Source organism: Homo sapiens, chromosome 6, assembly GCF_000001405.40.
Source record: "Homo sapiens chromosome 6, GRCh38.p14 Primary Assembly".
Classification (NCBI taxonomy): domain Eukaryota; kingdom Metazoa; phylum Chordata; class Mammalia; order Primates; family Hominidae; genus Homo; species Homo sapiens.
In genome coordinates, this window is record NC_000006.12 from 72242759 (window position 1) to 72268068 (window position 25310).

General features: G+C 32.2%; 1 protein-coding gene across 89 annotated transcripts in view; it reads left to right on the top strand.

Moving 5' to 3' along the window:
* Positions 1–25310, top strand: part of RIMS1 (regulating synaptic membrane exocytosis 1) — a 516596-nt gene that overhangs the window by 356209 nt on the left and 135077 nt on the right. For 28 of the 89 annotated variants that reach the window (XM_017010517.3, XM_047418419.1, XM_017010522.3 and 25 more), the window contains 10 exons: positions 3057–3103; positions 5257–5369; positions 7572–7702; positions 8163–8334; positions 8457–8610; positions 10003–10074; positions 15367–15523; positions 16228–16353; positions 17947–18009; positions 23202–23291. In XM_017010517.3, coding sequence (XP_016866006.1) covers positions 3057–3103; positions 5257–5369; positions 7572–7702; positions 8163–8334; positions 8457–8610; positions 10003–10074; positions 15367–15523; positions 16228–16353; positions 17947–18009; positions 23202–23291 — 1125 coding nt within the window. Of the gene's footprint in view, positions 1–3056; positions 3104–5256; positions 5370–7571; positions 7703–8162; positions 8335–8456; positions 8611–10002; positions 10075–15366; positions 15524–16227; positions 16354–17946; positions 18010–22216; positions 22295–22631; positions 22746–23201; positions 23292–25310 lie in introns of all 89 variants that reach the window. The other 61 variants (XM_024446369.2, XM_017010518.3, XM_011535604.4 and 58 more) reach the window with 12 other exon arrangements.

The window sequence follows — 25310 nt, forward strand, 5'->3', positions numbered from 1 at the left end:
GTATTTCCTTTAAGAGAGGCACTAACAAACTCCTCTTCTTGTGATATTTAAAATATTAATGATTTCATATGTCTACATGAACTTTTTATTATTCTACGAAAGAATAAAATATTTTTTCTGTCTCTTTAACCATGAGTAATTTCAACTTTTATTTAAAATCAAGCAAGAAGTATTAAATATTTTAACATTTTAATTGGTCATAATGATATTTTTAAAACCTCAATTTTCAGTACAATTTAATTATCTATAGCCAGTGGGATATTTTCTATGTATGTATATAGATTTCCCCATATCGTTGCCTTTTTCTGGCAAACCCACATGGTCCAAAATAAATATTCATTTTGCCAGTCTATAATTTTTAAGGGCATTTTGAACTGTTTTATTATACTTGGCTTAATGTTTGAATGTGTTCTTGGAAATGATTCTTTTTTTCCCTATTCTCCAAAATTTAATACAGCCATTATTTCAAGGCTTTTTATGTTGAAAAAATGCTAACCTTTAATTTGTATCGGCCTCATGAATATATGTCAATGCAAAACATACAAGAAGATATAATTATCATAATTCTCAAAGAATGAAAATGTATGATCATATATCAAATAATATTAATATATAAAACTCTAAAATAAAGGCAAGCTTTTAACCAATTTTAACTGGTTATTATTAAGAGTGAACACTGAAGACATTTGCAAAAGTGTTGTACATTTCCATGTAGATTTTTAAAATAACAATACTACAATTTATGCTAGTTTTACATGACATATGTTCTAGTGCTGAGGTAAATATAAGGCTGGAAAAGAGGTAAGTAAATTGGAAAATGAATCAAAAGTATGAAAGCTAAAGTTTAGAATCAAGCATTGTGCACTTGCCAAATACTTTCAAATATATAGTGGTTTAAAAGTAAACAGCAAAAACAGAATTGATTCATGGTGACTTAAAAAAGTAACAGACAATTAAAGTAGACTGGAATAACATTATTTTTACTTTTTATGAAAATTAATTAAGAAGTAATCATCTGCACAGCCAAATTCTAAACTATTATAGATTATAGAATTGAAAGGAACATGGAATACAAAAATTATAATTTAAAGATTATAGAATTCAAAGGACATGGAATACAAAGATTATAATTGAATCAGAATCAAAGGTAGTATCAACTTTCTTTCTAGTGAATACATTATTGGAATCCTAGAAAAATAATTTTAGCTGCTTTTTTTTTTTTTAAAGACATGGTCTTGTTCTGTTACCCAGGCTGGAAAGCTATGTTTTAATAATAATATTTAATGTAGTCCTGTTTAACAACTATAATTAAAGGAAAAAGAAAATATTTATTCATAATGTAGTGGCATAGTGATTTCAGGAATCATTCTAAATATAACTTACAAGCACATTGATCAGTACACACTAAGAGGCATCAGCCATCTTGAGGTATTGACTTTTTTTGTGAACCCACCAAATACAATATCCTTGACCTTTATGCTTTTAATTGTTATTAAAACTACTCTACTACCTAACTGGTAAATAGAACTAATAAAGAATTCCACTGGATATGTAAACATCCAGTGGAAATTTATGCCTGAAAATATTGCTGAAGCAATTAACATAAATAAATTTTAACTAAAAGTCACTTTAACATATTTTCAACAACTTTGCCACCATTCTTTTTTCACAGGCATGTAAATTCCAAAGTTTGTACCTGGCTTTAGAACTTCAAATTCTGATTTCATAATGGACTATGAGGCTGATTTTTTAAGAAGTCATACTATCTAAAAATTGTTCCTGGATTTTTTTACAATTTAATTTTATTTGCTTGCATTAATTTAGAAGAAAGTAGCAGAATATATAGTTTTTTCTGTGTTTTGGGTATTGTAAATTAGTCTTTTAATTCATTCAAATGATTTTATATAAATGTATAGTCATACAAAAATATATAATAAAATTTATAAAATACACAGCATAGGCCAGATTGTCATTTTTAGGAAGTATAAATTATAGTTGGTTATGAGAATTACTTTGCACAAAATAGTCAAAATGACAACTGCAGAGAACAAACAGGGAAAACTCTTTTTGTTTTCATTCCCCCCAAAAGTGAAAAGAAAAAGTGAAGTCAGCTCATAAGGTAGGTGGTTAGAAATTCTTAAAAAATATGCTTATAATTTTGTTGGGACTAGCTAACTCCAGTCTGCTTTAATATGTCATGTTAATATTTGCATATTGTTAATCTTAAATTGATATTAAAACGTCTTTGGAAAATGAGAAGTAAAATAGTCCTATGCAGTATAATACCTAAACCAAGGTGATCTAGGGTTCTTAAGGTCATAGTGGGTAATGGATTAAGTTGAGATTATAGTACATATATTTCTTCAGAGTAATTTGTCAGTGTGGCAGGAATGGGTGGTCTCACAAGTCACTTTCTAACCATATGGTAAATAGTCATATATTTAGCTAACTTCAGTATAGAGATATGAATCTCTATAAAGGGTATATATGTGTATATATATTATATATTCACATATATAAAATAATTTGGCTTTTTTGTTGCAAGCTTGAACCATTTTTACTTTCCAAAGCAACTCATCCTTTTCATTTAACTTTGCCCATGATATTCACCACATCATTTTATTATTGAGATGTTCCCATCCCTTTCACTTGGTAAACTCTTTCAGATGTGTTTGTAAAGCATATTACTGATGTGTAAAATTTGTGTCATTTTGATTTCCTATAATTGAAGGAAAGTATTACCTTTAACATTTTTTATTTCCAAAACCTGCTGTTTTGGTAGTAAAAATATTGTGGTGATTTTAACCACAATATTAGTCTGATTGTTGTCATGTTAAAGTTTTGCTCTTAAATATGTAAAAACTTTTTTATTGCAGTTTTTTTTGTGTGGTGTTTGACATTCATGCACATTAGTAGTTGCCTTAATAGTAACTCCTATTCATTTCCACACCTGTAAAGACCCAGCAGGATTTTTCACATCACGTATAATGGGCTATGATTGCCTCAGGCAGGGTCATTTAACTAATGGGATTTTCACCATATCCTGTTTCTTTTAGTGACATTCCCCGGATTCCTGAGAGCTCCCACCCTCCACTGGAGTCCAGTGAGTATAAGGTTTCTTTGTTATTATAAAAGTATTGAACTAATTGAAAGTAAAGATTTCTAATTTTCTTTAGTTATTTGATATAATGAATTGGGGTTACTATACTAAAGATGTCTCCATTGGTACTAGATGTTGGCAATGATGGCAATAACTGGAAATCCAAAGAAGTCCTACTTCAGGATTTTTCTTCCTCTACTTTTTTATGTGATTAAAAAAAAAATCTTTACTGGGAATACTCTTCAGCATCATAACAGTCAGGACCCTTACAGAGCTTAATATATCAGGAATAGTTCTAGTTACATTAACATTTATTGTGATACTGGATTATTCAGTTTGATTGCTAAGCAGCTCAGTCTCAAGAGCAGCCTAGTGAAGAAACTAGGTAGACACTTTAACAAATAATTGTATTACTGAATAACAAAGTGTGTGGATTGATTTTGGAAGTGAATGGGTGGAGTAAACTTCATTAAACATAATAGGTCAAGAGATTGTGAAACCAGAGGGTTGAAAGAATTATCTATATGGGAATTTAAGTCGTTTCTGTATGACAGAAGATGATATTGTGTGCAATAAAATATAGACAATTAAGTTTTCAATGATAATGCAGAAGTGACCCAAATATTTACTTTGCAATGGATGGGAATTAAGTTAATACTTGGGCTTGATTCCCCAGGTGTTCTTACAGAACCCAAGTTAAAGAAATAGAAAATAAAAGGTGATTTAGGGGAAAACCAGTGATAGTGATTAGAAGGGAGAAGAAAATATGAAAGTAGGATAAACAAGGAAACAGACACTAGGTTATCATATAAAATGCATACCATCATGTTCTGCTAGAGGTGGACCCAGTTTTGGCTTTGAGCTTTCTGGTGACCAATACAAAGAGGGAAGTGGGACTAATTGCATAATTTATATTATTGATATGATTAAAAAATACACTGATTGCCATAATATTACAAACAAGCATTATTAGAAATAACAGTGTTCCTGTTCTGAGACTTAAGGAAAATGTATTTTAAATATACCTGGGAAAAGACACATAGTAACAATTTTATATAGCTGTTTTTTATCACTAAATGTTTTCGGAGGGCACAAAAGGATGACATGAGAATTAATTTGTACTTATAGAAAAAAATGTGCGGATTGCACATACTCAGGCAATGCTTCATAAACAGTATTTCTCAATGAAGCATTGGCTAAGTTTGAATGGTGGTGAGTTCAAGGTTGTACTTGCTGGATCAATAGCCTTCTATAAACACTCTGTATTGCTCTCTGTGTCAGGGTATACTTGGAACAGTGAAGAACTCCACCAAGTGGCTGAGAGGAGACCCAGCCTCCTCCATGTGAAGTTGAAACAAATCACTAGTGGTGAATTACTTGAAGCAGCATTTTCAGAGGTTCAGGATACTCATTTATAAGATCAAAACTAAGATAGATGGGGAGGCCGAGGTGGGCGGATCACCTGAGGTCAGGAGTTCGAGACCAGCCTCAACATGGAGAAACCCCGTCTCTACTAAAAATACAAAATTAGCCGGACGTGTTGGTGCATGCCTGTAATCCCAGCTACTCAGGAGGCTGAGGCAGAAGAATTGCTTGAACCTGCGAGGTGGAGGTTGCGGTGAGCCAAGATCATGCCATTGCACTCCAGCCTGGGCAACAAGAGCGAAACTCTGTCTCAAAAAAAAAAAAAAAAAAAACCTAAGATAGATGGTATATCTGATTTTAAAACAGTGGCAAAGTCTTGGCTTAGATGTGGCTTATAAATTATATTATGTATGCATTCATTTTAATTTCTCAGTAAGGACAGTTTATAATAGATGATCCATTAGCCAAGATAATTAGTGTTAACAGGCACTATCTTCCTTATCTCTGAAGCAGACCTTTACCCATATGTGAAGTCATGCAAGAGCCTGTGCAATACCATGCACTCCAGAAATGTAGATCAATTCTTTCCAGTTGAAATAAGCATAATACTTCGTTATATCATTCTTAATATTTTTTAAATAGACAACTAAAGACAATCTATCCCATTAAAAGTAGGTTCTGTTATCAGTGATAGTAATTATGGTTTTATACAAATAAAGGATGCATTTAACATTTTATTAAAAATATTTCCTACACTTACAAATATTACTTACTTTTTTTTCTCATTTTAGGTTCAAGTTCCTTTGAATCTCAGAAGATGGAAAGGCCTTCCATTTCTGTTATTTCTCCAACAAGTCCTGGAGCTCTAAAAGATGCCCCACAAGTCTTACCAGGGCAACTTTCTGTATGTATTTTTTGTACATGTTGGAGGCTGTTAGTATTTGCATACACTGTCTGAGTCTGTCTTTAAATATGTTCGCCTTTCCTTGAAGCCTGCAATAAATACATAGTCATTTAACACCATAATCTACTTCATTAGTTTTTCATGCATTTTTTATTATTCCTTTATTCACATATTTATTCAGAAATACTTACTGAGTGCTTGCAGTGTGCCAGATACTCTGAACATTAATTGATGAATGGTAACATAAGTAAATAAAGAGTTCATATTTTTTGTGTGCTATGTAAAAGTTTCTAAGGTAAATAATTGTTTACACATAATATTAGGAGTTCATACCCCATTTATGTAATAACCTTATGAGCCTAGAGCCTGAAGAGCCTAAATTTGGAATATTCTTTTTAACTTCCTAAGGCATTTGGCAAAACTCTTCGTTGCCACTGAAAGCTCTCTGAAAAAGCTACCATTTTCTCACTATTGCCTTATTATGTGATCTGGGGAAACCTGGAGTGAAGAAACTAGGGTTAAGGATAATGAAGAACCATATATTTGTAGATTATGATGGAAAATGTGATGTTGATATTATAATTTAAGGACTTCAAACTATTTGTTTCAAATTGTTACACAAATAATGACCTTTTGCTCCTCTGATAATGTGTGGATTTCTGTGGTTTGCCTTTGTGGTTTTCTCTTGATTTTAATGAGACAGAGAAGATATATGTAAGCTTATTGCTCAAGGGCTTTTATGGTTTTAACTTTTATTTTTAGTATATTGAATATCTTTGTAATACCCTTTGGGTTTATCTGCCGGCCATCTTTTTCTTCAGTGTATGTGTAAATCTCTCATATTCTCCACATATTTTGAAAGAGGATGGAAACCCATTCTGGTTCTGTGAAACCCCATCTTAGGTATCAATTGGGAATCAGAGAAATGGATTTACACAGATCCAGGTTTGAATTCTTAATCTGTTCCTTACCATGAAAAGCTAATCCTATGTTAAATTAGTTTATTTTGTTTTAATGACTCTCAAATATGTTCTAACATATACCTATTAACAGCATATGCTTACTTAAACATAAAATGAAAAGTAACTTCTAAATTAAAGGAAAAAAATTAAAGTTAACATTGTTAAAGTGTCATCACCACTGCCAGGGCAGATACTGTAATAATGACTGATAAAATTCCAATTCTTGTGAGTTTGACAATAGGATTTTAGTACGTTACTTCCCCATTATTCTTTGGTCTACTGTCATGAAATCTTGGTTAATAGAAATATCATTTGGCCTTCTTGTAGTTTGAAGATGTCATTTGTGTATTGTATCCTTAGTTTTTTCCTCCTTCTCTCATGAAAAATAACCTGTAATAGTTTAATTCTAAAAATTAAATGACGGCTTGGTGCAGTGGCTCACACCTTTAATCCCAGCACTTTGAGAGACTGAAGAGTTCAAGACTAGCCTGGCAACATAGCAAGACCCCCGATTCCACAAAAAATTTAAAAAACTGGCCAGACATGATGATGTACACCTGTGGTTCCATCTACCTGGGAGGCTGAACTGGGAGAATTGTTGGTTCCAGCAGTTTGAGGCTGCAGTGAGCTATGATCATGCCACTGCATTCCAGCCTGTGACAGAGTGAGACCATGTCTCTAAAAAATAAAAAAATAAGTGAGAAAAAATACCAGGAAATACTAAACGGTGCCTGTATAAAATAGGCCCACAGTAAATATGTTTTATGATCTCTTCTAATTCTTTGTATTTCTTATTCCTAATATCCAAACTCTTGTTTTTTTTAATTTTAACTACCTGTGACACCAGAGAAAGCATTTAGTCACGCTATAATAATTTAGACACATATAATCTTCAAACTCTTATTTTTAACATTTAAGAACAATAATAATGATTTTATGTCTCCCTCTTCCCTTAGTTTTTTGGAAAAATTATTATTAGTTTTATTTTATAAAATGATATGTGAGAATATACAGTAACACTGAAGGCCTGCCAGTTGTAGGTTATGTTTAAAGTACTCAAAGAGAAAAGTAAAGTTCTGTGTGTTTATGCTTTCAAATTGGTGTGTTTTTAGAAATATCTGTAATTGCATTATATTGTAATTCAAAATTTCCTCATTTAAATATAACTTGAATTTTGTTTTATGTAAAATTGTAATGCCTCATGATTTTTACAAATAATTCCTTTCCTCATTGCTCCTAGGTGAAGTTGTGGTATGATAAAGTGGGACACCAGCTGATTGTAAATGTTCTGCAAGCAACAGATCTACCTGCTAGAGTAGATGGACGTCCTCGAAATCCCTATGTAAAAATGTATTTTCTTCCAGATAGAAGGTAGTGAATAATTTTAGAAAAAAAAAATCTTAAAATCTGTACTAATAGAAAAGGTAGAATTTTCTCTTTTGGGATGTTTTTAAAAAATATAATAGATAATTCTGAGGAGATAAAAGTACATTATCTCTGAAAAAAGAAGTCCCTCAAGTGTTGGAAATTGTGTTGGAAATATTTGAAAATAATCTGTCAATTAAAAAAATCTATTACCTTGTTTATAGGTATATTAGTCTTTGATAGCGACACATCATTTAGAATGTACCTTTGTATGTGTCCCTATAATTACAATACTGCTTATATTGTAACTGAAGTTAGAATATTATTAAACTCTATTATCTTTTTATAGACTTTCCATGAGTTATTAGTTAAAATAATATAAATATCAATGGCAGTTTTACATGTAACTACAGTAGATGGCAGCATGTACTTGCTTTTTCATTTACAAAACATACTTATTTTTCAGTGATAAAAGTAAAAGGAGGACCAAAACAGTAAAGAAAATACTAGAACCAAAATGGAATCAAACTTTTGTCTATTCACATGTACATCGTAGAGATTTTAGAGAACGAATGTTAGAAATAACTGTGTGGGACCAACCAAGAGTGCAAGAAGAAGAAAGTGAATTTCTTGGAGAGGTGATGTATATTTTAAAAACTCAAGTCAAATAGTTAATAAAGTTTTGTGATATTTATTATGATTACTATTACATTATGTTTTGATAAAGGTACTTGATTTAATTTGAGAATTACCCTCTCAGATCCTCATAGAATTGGAGACAGCGCTTTTAGATGATGAACCGCATTGGTATAAACTTCAGACACATGATGAGTCTTCACTACCTCTGCCTCAGCCATCACCTTTCATGCCAAGGCGACATATTCATGGAGAAAGCTCTAGCAAAAAGCTACAAAGTAGGTTAAGGTCCTTTTAGTTGCCACAAAGTAATTATGCTGTAATGATCTAATTAGTGATTAATAATTCAAGATGTTTTTTTTAAATGTTTTATTAGAGATCAAAATACTGGAAAATTGTTCATCTTTATGAAGCAACTTGGCAAAACTGTTTCTACATTTTCACAATGAAAATAATGTAGATAGCATAGCAGAGTAATTGCAGAGCTGCAAGCCAAAAACCTCTGAATTAAAATTCTTGCACAGGGCCAATTGAGCTGTTGGTTATTGACTGATGGAATAATTTCTGTCATCACTGGTGAGTTGCCACCTGTGAAGTCTTAATAACTTTATAGTTCAAAGATTTTTTCTCCCCCCACCGAGAGAGAGTCTCACTCTGTTGCCCAGGCTGGAGTGCATTGGCGTGATCTCGGCTCACTGCAACCTGCACCTCCCGGGTTTAAGCAATTCTCCTGCCTCAGCCACTGGAGTAGCTAGGATTACAGAAGTGCGCCACCATGCCTGGCTAATTTATTTTTGTATATTTAGTAGAGATGGGGTTTCACCATTTTGGCCAGCCTGATCTTGAACTCCTGACCTTGTGATCCATCCGGCTCGGCCTCCCAAAGTGCTGGGATTACAGGTGTGAGCCACCATGCCCAGCCAGTTCATAGATATTTTAATAGTTATTCATAAGAAATGTTGTTTAAAATATTAGAAGGTATGTTTATTGCTATTCATCTAGTGATTGGGAAAAGCTATTTTTTTCTGTACTTATTGAGTAATTTTTGTGTCATAACTACATTTCTAAGTTAACAGCTGAAAGAAGCCTCATTTTGGTAATCTGGAACTAAATTATTTTTCTCACATAATTAAATATTTCATGTTGATGCTTCCCTGATCAGTAATTTCCTCAAAGTTAATGTTTAATGAAGTATAATGACTAATTTGGGGAGCTAAACATAAATATTTTATAAAGGGCCCTGATGTTTTTTCATTAATATAGGCTGAATAGAGCTCCAGCCAAGAAATGTCTCTGAACCTTTCCACTCAGCCCTATTCTCTCTGAACTGCAGAGGAAAGCACTTAATTGTGTAGAAAACAATGTACTGTATATACTGTGCTGAAGGCTTTTAGTATAATATTTTAATTAAAGAATTAATCTGAAAATCTTATTCTGTGAAGTCCCCTTGTTTCTATATGTCTTTGGTGTAATGAGGAAAAAAATACTGATAAAATGTTATCCTTAGAGAACAAACATTTCTTTTAAAATTAGCTCAGTGTTTACTGTATTAGTCTTCATAAGTTTTCAGTAATAATGCAATTCACTTTTTAAAAAAAGTTTGACAGTGCTCTTTACGTTTCATAAACCAACCAGACACAGAAGTATCTCTTTGCCTTACTGTTGTGCAGGATCTCAGCGAATCAGTGATAGTGACATCTCAGATTATGAGGTTGATGATGGTATTGGCGTAGTTCCTCCAGGTGCGTGGGTGAGGAGCATGACCCTGCTTCACTGTGCTGCTTTGCTTGTTTTCTCTGTCAGCTTCCGGACCTCTTTAGGATACTAAACTGAAGATTTATAGCACAGAGAAATCAGTATTATATTATTCCATGGTGACTTACATTTCAAATTATTAAGAAAGTTTTAAATGGACTAGTCTCTACTAATTAGCATTCCCATAGTGAGGTTCTTCCGTAGAAACATGTCTAACTAGTGAAACAAATCATTATTTCACAATGCTCTGAGCGTAAGTGAAAATACGAATTTTATTTTGAAAAGATGGGGTTATTAAATAAAAATTCCATTTTTCTGTGTTTTATATTTGCATTTCTATGATTTTCCTTCCACCATTTCTGAAAATAATGTAGCCCTCCATGGAATATACTGAGAAAGGTGCATGGCGGGGTTTAAAATTGCATGTGGCATGGCTGTAACTTTTAAAGCTTTTGTGATGTGTTCCCACTGATTATACCTAGAATGTGTGTATATGTTTTAATACAATAATATGTTTAAGAAAGATTAAGTATTAATTTGAAGTGAACATCTCTTTGTCATTGTGTAAGTTAGTAAAACTTTTGTGATGTTGTAGGGTTTAAATGTTTCTCATCTGACTTCTGTCAGAAAAGTGTAAAATCAAGTGGTAAAGACTTACTTTCTTGGCACTAATTCTATACTTTTTAAAAATTTACTAATGAGAGGAGAAGTAAATATGCAAATAAGAAGAAATGAAAGAGACAGTCTTAAAATGTATAAATATGAATTTTAAAGGCAGTTTTTAAAGACAGTATATATATATATGCCCTTGATATATATGCCCTTTATTTACATAATTTCTCAGATGGCAGTGTACTTAATTTGAGGGCAATGGTTTTGCTCAAATTGGTAGATTCTACGATACTAACTTCACAGTTTGGAGAGATGCATACAACTATTAAAACTGGGAGAAAATTATGGAGAGTTCTCTAAAATCAGGTTTCATTTGTTCCCTATAATTCAGAGAATATATGGTATTTATTTATTTATTTATTTATTTGAGACGGAGTCTCACTCTGCTGCTAGGCTGGAGTACAGTGGCACAATCTCAGCTCACTGCACCCTCCACCTCCCAGGTTCGAGTGATTCTCCTGCCTCAGCCTCCTGAGTAGCTGGGACTACAGGTGTGCACCACCATGTACAGCTAATTTTTATATTTTTAGTAGAGACTGGATTTCACCGTGTTGGCCAGGATGGTCTTGTTCTCTTGACCTCATGATCCGCCCACCTCGGCCTCCCAAAGTGCTGGGATTACAGGTGTGAGCCACCATGCCTGGCCAAAAATGTAGTATTTAATCACTGTGTGAAAGTAGAAAATATTGTTAAATTTATTATTATAAATCTAGTGCTGTGAAAATCTATATACTTATATATTAACCTTTGATGTCAGTGTATCAGTGAGAGATTTAGATCATACTGGAGAGAAATTCACTTTTGCTCTCTGTTTTTATTTCTTAGAAGGCCATAGTAATTACACACATTCTCAACAGAAAGGTTCACACAAAATGTAACATCATATTAGTTTGTCATGAAATTCAAAGAGTAAAGTGATTATAAATTTAAATTCATTTGGGATATTCAAATAGGAATTAGATTATACCTGGTAGAAAAATCATCACCTCTAACAGGAATCTTAACTATTAGTCAGCCTTAATGTTGTCATTACCAATTTATCTAAATAGAATTTGCTTCGGTGAGTGGTTCCCAAATTTCATTCACCTGAAATTTCATATTTTTAGTTATGAGACAGGGAAGTAAATGATGAATAAATAAATGGCCAATTAAATAAATGCTTGCACAAATGATGAGTTTCTTCCTCTTTCTCTGAGAGAGCAACATGGATAACGCCTTGTGAGAAGTCAAAGTGAGTTATGGAATCCACTAGAGATGGGATTAGTGCTTGAGTACCACCAAGGAGCACTGAATTCTAAATATACTTATATTCCATACTGAAATATACCATGTCCCTCAAAGTGTTTGCAAACATGCATAATCTCTGTTATCATACAAAGCAATATTTTTCAAATAATATTGTTCATTTTTATTTAGCATTTAAAAATGTAATGAGTCAAACTTTAATAGAATATGACTAGTAACTTATAAAACTGATAAGTAATATTTTATGTTTCAAAGATCTCCTCATAAATTAAAGGAGAGCATGTAATTCATTAATATTTTCAGATATACTCTTCATTGATCCATTGTAATTATGTGGTAGTATTTGTATGGCAAATATAACTAGTCACATAGTAACATGCAATACATTTTAAATGAAGAGGAAAAATGAGTCAGTAAAATAAGGGCAAGAAGCTAAAATAAAGTGAGGTGATAAGTTAGCACAGTGCATTCTTATGTACTTTTAGATGTTGGTTACAAATTTGCGTCTACGTTTCCTAGCATCCAATATGAAGAAAAAATTTGTTTAGATATGGAAGTCGTCTTCTATATATGTTTAATGTACTCAAGGAAGTTCCTGGTTGTTTATTATCTAGAGAAGCTCAAAAGCTCTGTACAAAATGTTCTACTACAGCCAAAACTTAAACTTCCTAATGCCTTGGCTTTTCTAGAACACGAAATTCTCTGTTTTTATTTGATGTGTTTACTATCTTTTTCCAGTTAGGGAAATGTAGCAGGTTTTCAGCAGTTGAGACTGCCAGAGCCACATTTTATTAACTTTGTAGTTATAGCCTTATTGTTATTTAAAGTAAATAATTTTAGCTAGTTAAGAAGAATAAAAATAACCATATACAGAATGCCCTCATCTGAGGTGAGGAATCTAGCAACTTCAACCAGAAAATGAGAAAAAAATTCTCTAATCTCTAACCCTGAGTCAACTAAAACACTGGGATTACCATAAAATAGTTTCATCCCAGCCGGGCACGGTGGCTCACGCCTGTAATCCCAGCACTTTGGGAGGCCAAGGTGGGCAGATCACAAAGTCAGGAGTTCGAGACCAGCCTGCCCAATGTGGTGAAATTTCATCTCTACTAAAAGTACAAAAATTAGCTGGGCCTGGTGGCGCACGCCTGTAATCCTATCTATTCAGGAGGCTGAGGCAGGAGAATCACTTCAACACGAGAGGCAGAGGTTGCAGTGAGCCAAGGTCATCCAGCCTGGGTGACAGAGCGAGACTCCATCTGAAAAAAAAAAAAAAAAAAAAAATTTAATCCCAGTCATGGTTCTGAAGATAGAGTGCATGTTGTCAACAATAACGTAAACATAATGTGAAGAAAATCAAATTTTTTGTAAAAAGCAACTATAAATGTAAAAAGCAAAGAACTTTTTCTTTGTAAAATGCAAAGAACTATAAATGTATATTTATTTAAGGTCATTCACTATAGAGTCAAATGTTAAAACTTTGAATATTATAGCATATGTTATATTCAAAATGACTTTGAGTCACCAAAATAGTACACATTGCCGTCAGTATACTTTTTGAATTCAGAACTTTCTAAGTTACATTAAAAGTTGTTAATATGTTAAAAGTTTCAAGATTTCACTTGTTTCCTTAAAGTCCCTTCTTAAAAGGATAAAAGAGGCATTAATTTCTATATAACCACAAAGAATCCAGGAAACAATTATATACCTTTTACAGCAAGATGCCAAAATTCTCTAAAATTTATTCTGTAATAATTAATTATACAAAATCTATTTATATACCTTGAATACTCACTTAAATCTCGAAATAGGGCTCATAAGTCAATATTGGCCTTCCATAATTATTGTGTAATTGATACCAGATAGCAATTAAAAATGTTTAAGTAATTCAGACTATGGATTAATTGTCTTTATAAATAGTCACCCTTTTTTTTTTACAATGAGCTATGTATTAATAGTGTATTCACTACATGTTAACTTAGTTGGTCTCTTTCTAGCCTTAATATTATAATTTCTAGTCTTAAAATTACAATATAATATTACATCTGAATAACAGACTTTTTATACAAAACTCAATAGCTTAGTTGATATTTTGATAAGAAAAAATTAAAGTATTTCAAATTATAAATTATACCATTTATGAATATTAAACATGTTTTTATAGAGTGACAAAATGTTTGTATTTCTTTAGTCTGAATATTGTCAAAGTACACTTAATGAAATGTTTGAAGTCCCTTAAAATTCGGCATAAGATCATGGATTCACAATATATAAACTGCTAGGGACTATTAGCCTGCCTTTAATCATGATGTTTCATAACATATTTTTGAGATAATGTGAGAGTTGTCAAGTAAAAAATGAACAACAGTTTTAGCTTCCCAGTTAAATTTAACATATTTATGGTTTATGTATGTTTTATGTAGTTGTAAATATAGTTTTTTTTTTTACTTTGGCCACATAATTTTTTTATTTTCCTTATGATAATAAAAAACAGTTACCCTTGTGAAAAAATTTTAAACTCTAAACTCTTCTTTTGGTTTTGAGATTACTGTCTTATCTTAACTAAATCGCAGACAATATAAACCTTTTTACTTCAGGGAAAAAGTGACTGTTATAATTTATTTTAAATTGCAATATGTTAACTATATTATCTTAGTTATGCTAATTAAAATAATTATGGAGTAGTTTCAGATGTGTAAGGCAGATTTGGCGATTGGTTCTTCAGAAGGGTGCATTTTCTCTACATTATTGTGATAGTCATCTTCAGTCATATACTACATTTGAAAATTGCAGTATTATTTGTGGTTTGCAAAATTCACAATGAGTATAATGGTGAAGATCTGCTACTCTTCTTTGTTAATTAAAACTGGAACAATATATTTGTTTTCTTATTAAAGAGGCCACCTGCAATCCAACTAAAATAATTTATTCTCTAGAATAAAAATCGAAATGAAGAATTTATTTAAATTTAAAGAGACTCCAAACTTCTAAGCATTGACTTGTATATTAACTATAGTTTCATGTCAAGCACTTCATTTGTGTTGCTAAGTCACGAACTCGTTCATTATTTAAATTGAAACAGTATCCCAACTCATCGTAATGTCTGAGGCATCAACTGTCATATTCATATTATTATCTCCATGGTTCCTTTGAGCAAAACTGTAACCTGTTTCAATGCATGTATATGTTACACTCTGTGTAGGTATACTTAATATTTTTGAAGATAAGGCTATTAATACCGATTGCATGACATTTATTCTTCATAGATCAATGGCTGCTTTAGAATAATTTTATATTCCTGTGTTAATGTTTGCATTATAGAAGAATACTGACTAAATTTTTTCTGTGTGTACTTTTGCCAGTAGGCTATAGGTCTAGTGCTAGAGAAAGTAAATCTACAACATTAACTGTGCCAGAACAGCAAAGAACAACTCATCACCGCTCACGTTCAGTATCTCCTCATCGCGGCAATGATCAGGGAAAGCCGCGTTCACGTTTACCAAATGTGCCATTACAGAGGTAGGCTTTGAAATGGGCTCAGTGTCCCTGACAGTACATTTTTATTATAATGCAGTGTAAATTGCTGCAAAACTAACTGAAATGAAAAAATAGTTTGGTCAAATTATTTTTTTCAGAATTAATTGTAGGCAAAATTTTTTTTATTCTTTATCCAACCTATGTGGCAGTCTGTTGTTTAATCTGAAGAAATTTCCCAGGGAGCAGAAGTTGTTTATGTCCCAGGAATAGTTTTTGAATAATTGTCTTGTATTCTCTTTGCTAGTTTTCTTTCTTGTTAGAAAAAAATGGTAACAAATCAGAATTGTGGAGAGAAGTGGCGAAGAGGATAAGGTTAAGAGACAGAATGGACTTTGAAGAGATTTAGGATTGTCTCTTTGAAGCACTTTAAATGCTTGGAAACATAAATAAAACATATAGTGCTCTACTTCATTTTACTCTGATATACACTCCTGAAATTGTAATTAATTATGCCGATAAAAATTGATTTTGATAGAAGTATGAAAGAAGGTTGGAGAAATGCAGCCACAGGCAAAAACTCATAGAAAACAAATACCCTTAACTCATTGATAAGTAGGTTTTGATTATGATGCAAATACTTTTCAGTGTTTATTTGCATATTACTCTCAGTTCCTTCACTTTAGTCTGTCTGCCTGTTTTGGGAAGATGATACAATTTGACACATAAGAATTTTGTAATCATTTTAGGAGTTTAGATGAAATTCATCCAACAAGAAGGTCACGTTCTCCAACCAGACACCATGATGCCTCCCGAAGTCCAGTTGATCATAGAACCAGAGATGTGGATAGTCAGTATTTATCAGAACAAGACAGGTATTTGTCAAAATTATGATCTCAACGTTATGAATTTTTTGTTCTGTTTTAATATATACAGATATTGTGGCATAGCACATTAGAGAGTAAAAGTATTTATCACTCAAAAATGAGCTGCTCTCAAGCAACAACTGTTAACATATTGTAATAGAAATGTAACTCTAGGAAATATTTGGCTAATATTATATTGTTATAATTATCCAATTTCTTTTACAAAATCAGAATTTATGCTTAGACAGCTTTAAAGGTACAGCTTGTTGACTTAGATATTGACCTAAATTATAGAAGGGAGTCTGCATAAGGAGTTTTCAAATATTTTATTTATTGTGGGTCACAATATTTGAGGTATGAAGTAATCATAAAAATTATGTTATTTATATAATTTAAAACATTGTGGATACATGCCATTTGAAAGTTAATTGCAGAGTTTCTATGAGAACTTCAATAATAATGTTTCTGTTATATACTTCTTTTCATAAAATCTCTTTCTAGAAAATGTCTATAGAATACAATTATTGAGATGGGTTCTTATGGGGATATGTGCTTAGATTTAATTCTGCATTTGTGAACTAATATTTCACGGAAATAATTACTATAAGTCTACATTATGAATCTGTTGCTCTGCGTGCCCACAGACTTTCTTCTTGAAGTAACCATATACCTGTACAATTAGCCTGATTATAAGCTCAGGATCTGATTTAAGGTTTTATAATACCCACCTTGTTGAATATTCTCTTCTGGCTTTTTAAAATGGAGAAACTTTCAGTGAGGAGAAGGGTCATGATAGTGGTGCTAAATAATTTTTCGCCATGGAGTCAAGGACACAAAGTAGAACTTCTTAACCTACCTAATTGCCATCCTACTGTGGAAAGTAGCGTTGTGACCTTCAAGAATGGAGTCACAATAGGTACTAGGATGAAGAGCTGCTCTGAGGAATAGGATTCCAGACATCTCAGCTTGAGTTGAATGAGGGCTATTTTATCAACATTCATTTGGGCCACCATGAATTTAGGTGAGGAGGGAAAACACAGGGCTACTTGACCAGGGCAGTCAATATAGTGAAATTAATTTGGATATAGATAAAGTATTAATTGTAAAATAAAAATTCTAATCAATTATATTGTTAGTTGGTTAATAAGAAACATAATATGGTATTGCATTTTCAGTGGCTATAAAAGCCAAGAAAACTATCACGCTTTAATTTGTTATAAAGTTATAAAAATGTTCAGAATTCCCATTAGTATCAGGCCAAATTTATAGTATTAAAAAAATACTCAGTTGTCTATAATTGGAAACAGAGTCCTATATCTTATTTGAGGAATATTTAATTTTGTTTTGTTTTAATATTCTATAAAATCATTTTGAAATACAATGGCAAATCAGCAACAGCTAGGACTTCAACCATAATATTTGTACTTTATTGTTTAAATTTTTTAAATGCTTTTATGTTTATTTTTGTTTAACCTCTCAAGCAAATATGCTAGTGCAGACAATCTGGTTTCTTCCCTTTTCATGTTTTCATTGGCATACCATTGGCATAACCCATGTCTCATAATTTATCTGTTTCACTCACCACCCATCCTGTCTGTGCAGTGAGCTTCTTATGCTGCCCAGAGCAAAACGAGGACGAAGTGCAGAATGCCTACATACTACCAGGTAAATACAGGGATTTGGTAATGGTGACTGTGTGTGATGACTCTCTTTCCATTCTATTATTCTTCCGTCTCTCCCTTAGTGGTATTATTACAAGCAAGTCAAATAAATTTCCCAAGTATTTGAAATTTGTTTTGTTTTATATTGAGGTTATGGAAAAGGTTCCAAATATATTTCAGTTCCGATTCAGGCTGACTGCTTTGCCATCTGTAGATTCAAAAATCCAGAGACTAGTGGGCCTCTCTGGGACTGTTTGCGTTCCTAAAACTGAGGAACCAGTTTCTGCAATTAAAATTCTAAATGCTCACTGTGAGTGCCCCCAACTTTCCCACACATATTCCTGTCTAGTCACAAGAGGTCTAATCTGTGTATGGCAGTGTCATTGTTTCATAATTGTAAGTTTGCTCTGTTTTAGCCTTTTTTAATTTCCTTTTAGAATTTATTGTTGTTTATATTCTGTTTGCTTTTGATAAAATCTTTAACAGTTCACTTTTAATGGCTGAGCTTCAGCTTCTTTCTTGATGAAAAGTGAAGATATTCAACCTGATCTTAACTATCCTAGCCCACCAGTTGTCAGAAATGCTGCAGTACAAACTTTCCCACAAAGGCATATAACAGTATGAATGCCTCTTTAGAAGCGACAAAAGATATAATTTTTGCTTCTAAATTGGAGCTTAGAGCCTGATGCTTTATGTTAATCTCATTACATCTTTAATTTCATATCCAAGTAAAACTTCTTACAGATTACTCATGGAACATATTCTATAAATACTTAATGTATATTTGAAATGAATATAGAAGTTAAGGAAGTAGTAAGTCAGTGAAACAAACTAACACAAAATAATCGAACTCAAATATTTTAGCCAATAAAAAGCAAGAGGAAAGAGAAAGAAAGAGGTATTACCGCAGTACTTGGGATGCAAAGACAAATGCATGATTTATTATGTCTGTGTGTAATATGTAGTTCTGCCCAATAATGCAAACAAAATTGGGCTAATAAAAATTGTTTGAACTTTTTACAGTCTGAAGTTATACTACTCATAACTACTGCCATGTTTGCTTGGAGTGCCACAGGAAAAAATCGAGGAAATATTAGTTCTGCTTGCTGAGAAAAAAATGTAAAATCATGCATATTGTAAAAACCTACTGAAGGTCAAAGCATGAACTATCCAGGTTTATTATTACTTGTTCTTGACAAACAGTTTCTTAAAATAATGGTTTATTTACTAATTCTGAAAGTTTTCTCACACTCCTCTTGATGTGACTAAAGCTTCAAAAGAAATAAAAAACATGCACACAAAACAAACACAAAAAAAATCCTTATATTTTAAGCTACTTAGTGTGTGCCTGGCACTCAGTGTGTGAATATTTCTAGGATACTCACACCAGTGGTCTAAATATAATAACTAAAAATATTTTTCTTTCCCTTATTTTGTACTTGTAAAATATTATATACTTATATAATATTATATAATAGTTGCATCATTTTATATAATCTTATACTTAAGATTGGTGCTTTGCTAATAATTCTGAGCTCCACAAGTCCTATTTAATAGTCTCTGTATGTTGACTTTGCATTTCCTGATTTAAGCAAATAATCATATTTGTATGTATACAATTTAAAAATAAATGAGTATTCAGCGAGGCAGATAACATCCTGTGGACAGGTACTACGACAATAAGATAGGGAGTGGAAGGAAGCTGAGCTAGCCAAATGTGTCAGTGCGAAACATATGTCACCAGTGTCTTTTCTCCTTCCTGTCTTTCATTCTCTAATGTGTAATGCTAAAAGTATGGAGATAGAGACAACATGAGTTCAAAAATACGTGCATGTATGTATATATAATCTCTTCTGTGTTTATATTCATGTATTTATAAAAACATTAATTTATATCTGTATAAAAATGAATGTCAAAATGTGTACATATAAATAACCACAACTTTATATGGATATATCAATAATATAGTTTGGTTTCATATAAACTATGGACACTTATTATTTCTATAACTATCCATGGCTAAAATCTAAAGCTTTCAAAATACATCATACCATGTTCACTTAGGACTTATAAAAATAAAATCTGAGGATTTACTAGTCTCTAGTAAACATAAGGAAAATAACATTTATTTAATAACAAGCACAGTGTTAAATATTTAATGTACTTTGTCAATTTCCTGACAATAATTATATGTTATGAATATTATTATCCTGATTTTAGAGATGAGGAAAAAAGCTACGAAAGTTTATTTTACGACTAATAGAGTAAGGATTCAAAATCAGATCTATTTGATATCTTCTGTTTAACTAGTTTTTCCAAAAATATGAAAACTTGTCCTATGAGATGTTTCACCAATAAGAGTTTTTGTGAGTCAAATACATTTTGGAAACTTTGCAACTGAAAGTGTCTACCTTGAAATTTAATACACACAGCATATTAAAGTCATGTTCTAAAGAAATCTGTATGTTTAGTTTCTTTTCTCCCAAATTGTTTAATTTCCCAACCTTTTTTTAGTAAAACGTGTCTCGAGGAAGTGGTAGTATAGAGAAAATGCTATAGTTGCCTTACTGTATCCTACTGTGTCCTAAATATTGTGTACATGTTACCACACACCCCTGTTAAGTGGAAGTTATTTCCCACATTTTGTGGATGTAGAAACAGGCTTGGAGACTTAATCGAATTACCCAGGTCACAGCCAATAAGTGGCAAAGCCAAGGCAGGAACTTGAACATTCAGACTATAAATTTTGTGCTATTTTCTAGCTGTTTCCCATTCTATGTTGATCCCATTCTTGAAAAAAAAATCACTTTTGAAGCAATGCTTAGAAAAGTTTTATAGCAACCTATTACTAAAGATATTTGCCTGAGGTTAGGAGTTGAAAAGAAGAGTCGACTGTCTAGAAAGGAGGCTAAATCCTTAGTTTCAGTAAAATTTGTCCTCAACTTGTACTTAATAAGGAGGAAGCTGAAGCGGGCAGATCACTTGAGGTCAGGAGTTTGAGACCAGTGTGGCCAACATGGTGAAACCCCGTCTCTACTAAAACACACACACACACACACACACACACACACACACACAAATTAGGTGGGCATGGTGGCAGGTGCTTGTAATCCCAGCTACTTGGGAGGCTGAGAGAGGAGATTTGCTTGAACCCAGGAGGCAGAGGTTGCAGTGAGCCAAGATCACACCATTGCACTCCAGCCTAGATAACAAGAGTGAGACTCTGTCTCAAAAAAGAAAAGAAAAGAAAATGGCATTTTAGTTCATTTTTTAATTGAAGTTTTAAGGGATTTCCTTTGATTTGATCATTAATATAAACATGATTAAACCAGTGAGGTGTTTGATGTTTAGGAAGCCTTTGATAAATGTTTATTCCCTTCCCTCTTGATTATGCTTTACTGCTAGCTGAGATAGATGATGGATTTTCATAATTAGTAATTAAATTTATAGAACATTATTAAATTATCAAAAAAAATATGGCTGGACCTAGTTTGTCCTTCATGGCATAGACAGTCCAGAAACCCTCACAGATTTTAAAGGAATCAGATGCCGTTGGGCCAATTTTCTGCCAATTCAAAATCCATATTCTGGTTTGCATCTAATGCCTATCTTACCCTACTTCCAAAGGAAAATTTCCTGTGGTTGGGTCTGGATCCAGACAGAAGCTGATAAGTAGAAAGAGCTTGCTCCTTTGCAATCACTTCTTGGCCTTTTTCTGTTTCCTTTTTTTTTGCTGCAGTCTGGTACTATGACCAGCTTTGTCCCTGGAATGCTAGTCAACACTTTGTTTTGTTTTAGAACATTAAAATTCTTTTAGTCATATTGTAACTCTAAAATTATATAAATTAGTTGATTTTTACTTTTAGCTATGAGTTTACTTTCGTAGAAGTAGGCATAATATTAAATCAGAGATTAAGTAGCACATTTACATATTGATCAATGATAATTCATAGAGTTTGGTTAGCAGGTATTTTTCTAATTCAGATAATTAAATAATAATTTTGAGTATTTTATGAAGTCAAGTGTCTATGATTTCATATTTTAATAATTGTAGTCTTCCCTTCAAATAGTTATTGTGGTTCTTTTGAGAAAAAAATGACCAAAGATTTATCTATATAGCTTTATAGGCCTCCTACTTTCTGAATATCTTAATAAAATTGGTTTCATATATATTTTTCTGTTTCCTGCGTGTTTGTGTTGCTACGTTCCAGACATCTTGTTAGGCACTATAAAACATTACCTCCCAAGATGCCTTTATTACAGAGCAGTTCTCACTGGAATATTTACAGGTAAGAGCCCTAACAGTGAGTCCCACCCAGTTATAAAGTAATTCCTAATCCCTTGCCTACTAAAAATAGAAAATTCACATTCTAATAAAATATTAAATAGGAAATTTACATTCTAATAAAATATTCTTTTGAAATAATTATACAGTGAGAGACATTAAATTAATGATATCTAAAATCGTTTTAACTATAAAACTTAGTACTAGAATAATTCTCTGAATGACATCTACTAACTCAAATGTCAGAATTCTAGTTGCTTTGTCATTTGTATATTGTTGTACTTGTTGATTTTAATTATAATTTATTTTATTTTATTTTTGTGTAATTTTAATTTGTGGAGCTCAATTCTGCCTGCACATACTAAGACCAAATCAGTGACTAGACAGGACATTTCCCTTCATCATGAATGCTTTAACTCAACAGTATTGAGATTTACTGATGAAATACTGGTTAGGTAAGAACATTTGGAAGTGATATCTTCCGTTTCCCTTGTTTATTGTTGTGAACCAAAAAAGTTGAGTTGTAAAATTATTTCTCCTCTGATGTCCTTCATTTTGTTTTGGTGTGGCATCTGTTCCTGGTAATGAAATTTTAGGCATTTTGTTTTAGTGCTTTCTGTATCCAGTTTTTTTCATAAGTAGGTGTGATTTAGTCTCATTTTTCAGTCTGAGACACTTTTAAAAATTATGCAAAGCAATTTAAGCATAATCTTTGTTTAGCTTCATTTTCTAAACAAAATTTTACACTGTCATTCTGTCAACTCTCTCACACCCTTATGAACTGAATCCCAGTGATTCTACATTTTGTGTAAAGGGGACATTATTTTATGCTTTACTCTCTAACATGGTCTTCCTTTCTTTGTTTTCTCTGTCTTTCTCTTCTACCACTGGATGCAATGCACTGGCACTAGTGAACTGCAGCCCTTTCTTGACAGGGCTAGGAGTGCTAGTACCAACTGCTTGAGACCAGATACTAGTTTGCATTCACCAGAACGAGAAAGGTATAAAATAAAGACTTTCTTAATTTCTTATCATTTGTACTAGTGATTTTTTTCAGTCACTTTGTTTTGTTTCATGACAGCCTTACAGGTTTATTCATTCATGTATACTTTGCTAACTGTCTACATTTCCCCTTCCCTTATTATACATGTCTATTTAGAGATATGCGTATGTGGATAAACCCAAGGGTACACATACACATATTTCTATGAATGTTGTTGCAAATGGCGTGGTGTAATTTGTAACTGCTTCTGGCTGCTGCTTTTCCCCTTTTGTTGCTGTTCAGTCATTTTATTGACTATTCAGGAAACCTTCAGTATGCTGATAATGTTATAAGGTCCAGTGAATTATCCGAAGGGGAGGATCACTTTCCTCTTAGTACCACTGATAAATAGTATTTATAGGTTTAACAACAATCTTCTATAAACTCATAACAGGAAGTATTTTTAAATAGAATACTTCCTTTGTATATCTACATTCATTTTTAATCAATCTACTCTTTGATATAATGTTTTACCTTAAATTATACTTTGACAACAAAAAATGATGTTATTCATAAATTTCCTGATGCCTAACAAAAAGAAATACATATATATGTACACAGACAATTTTGCTTAAAACTTTAATTAATAAATTCTGATATATTCATTGATGTTGTGTTACACTATCTCCTAGCTGTAAGCATCTAATTTTTCCACTGTGATGGAACTCTTTTAATAGACTTAGTTATAATTTTAATAGACTTAGTTATAATTGATAGTCTTGTTTATAATGGCTATCTCTTTTTAATTAGAAGTCATTCAGAAGACATTTGCATACTACCTCTTTACAAATCCTGAAGAAAAATATTTAGTTGTACTAATGTAACCCGCTCCTCCTTCTTAGTAGGCTACTTAAAGCTTTTCTTTAGGTAACTTTCTAATCTGAGTCTATTCATTTATTTATGAGATATTTATTTCTGGAATTGAACAATAGGTACACGTGTGTATATACCTTGTTTTAGTGCCTTAAGAATTTACTTTTAAATTGTGTATTCTTTTACATTTGTAAACTGTGTAATAGAAAAAAGTGAAATTTAATTTCTGTCTTGTATCCCTTTACTTTTGTAATATAAATTTTAGTTGAAAGGACTATAGAGTCTCTAAAATCATAATTGGAATTGTTTTATCATTCTCTTTAGTCAAATATAACCCCTTCCCCAAATAATTTCAAGAGTAGCAAGAAAATTTTAAAATATGTTTAGTTATTATTTTCTTATATGTTTCTGGTTAGTAGTAAAACAAGGATAGAAATTCTCAAGTTAGTGGAATCTTCTGACCATAGCAGCCTGACATTTTTAATATTACCCATATCAGTGCCATCTGATAGAAACATAATGCAAGCTGATACTTTAATATTTCGTAGTAGCCATACTAAAAGGATTAAGTTAATTTTAATTTTTAACCCTGTATATTCAAAATATAATTTTCACATGTCATTATTATACAAACTATTAGATATTTTGCACTCCCTTTTTTACAGCATAATAAGCCATAGATACTAAAGATAGTTTGTACTTGCACCACTCCCACTTTGGACTAACCACATTACGGTGCTCATTGGCTTCATGTGGTTTGTGGCTCCTGTACTGGACAGTGCAGGTCTATTCTTATGGTGAGCCTGTCTAGCATATGTTCCCTTGTGACACTGAAGCCACAGAGTTTATAAATCTCCATGTTGGCAAATTTAATCTGTCAGATAATACCCTTAAAGCAGGTCAACCAGCAGGCAAATAATCTAGGGACAGTTATTGTACAGATTGTTGTAAAGTCCAAGTGGGTGTATTTACCTTGAATAAAAGAAGAAAAAATATTGAAAACATATATTCACTCTACATATTGAATAAAAAGGAATTTTTCATTTAAAAACTCAATGAAACAAGTCTTGGTATTATCAGTGATCCTAAGTTTATTGGGATCACTTTATTGCCAAGAAGAACAGCAATTATTTTATGTAATGTAAAATAAACAATTATTTTATGT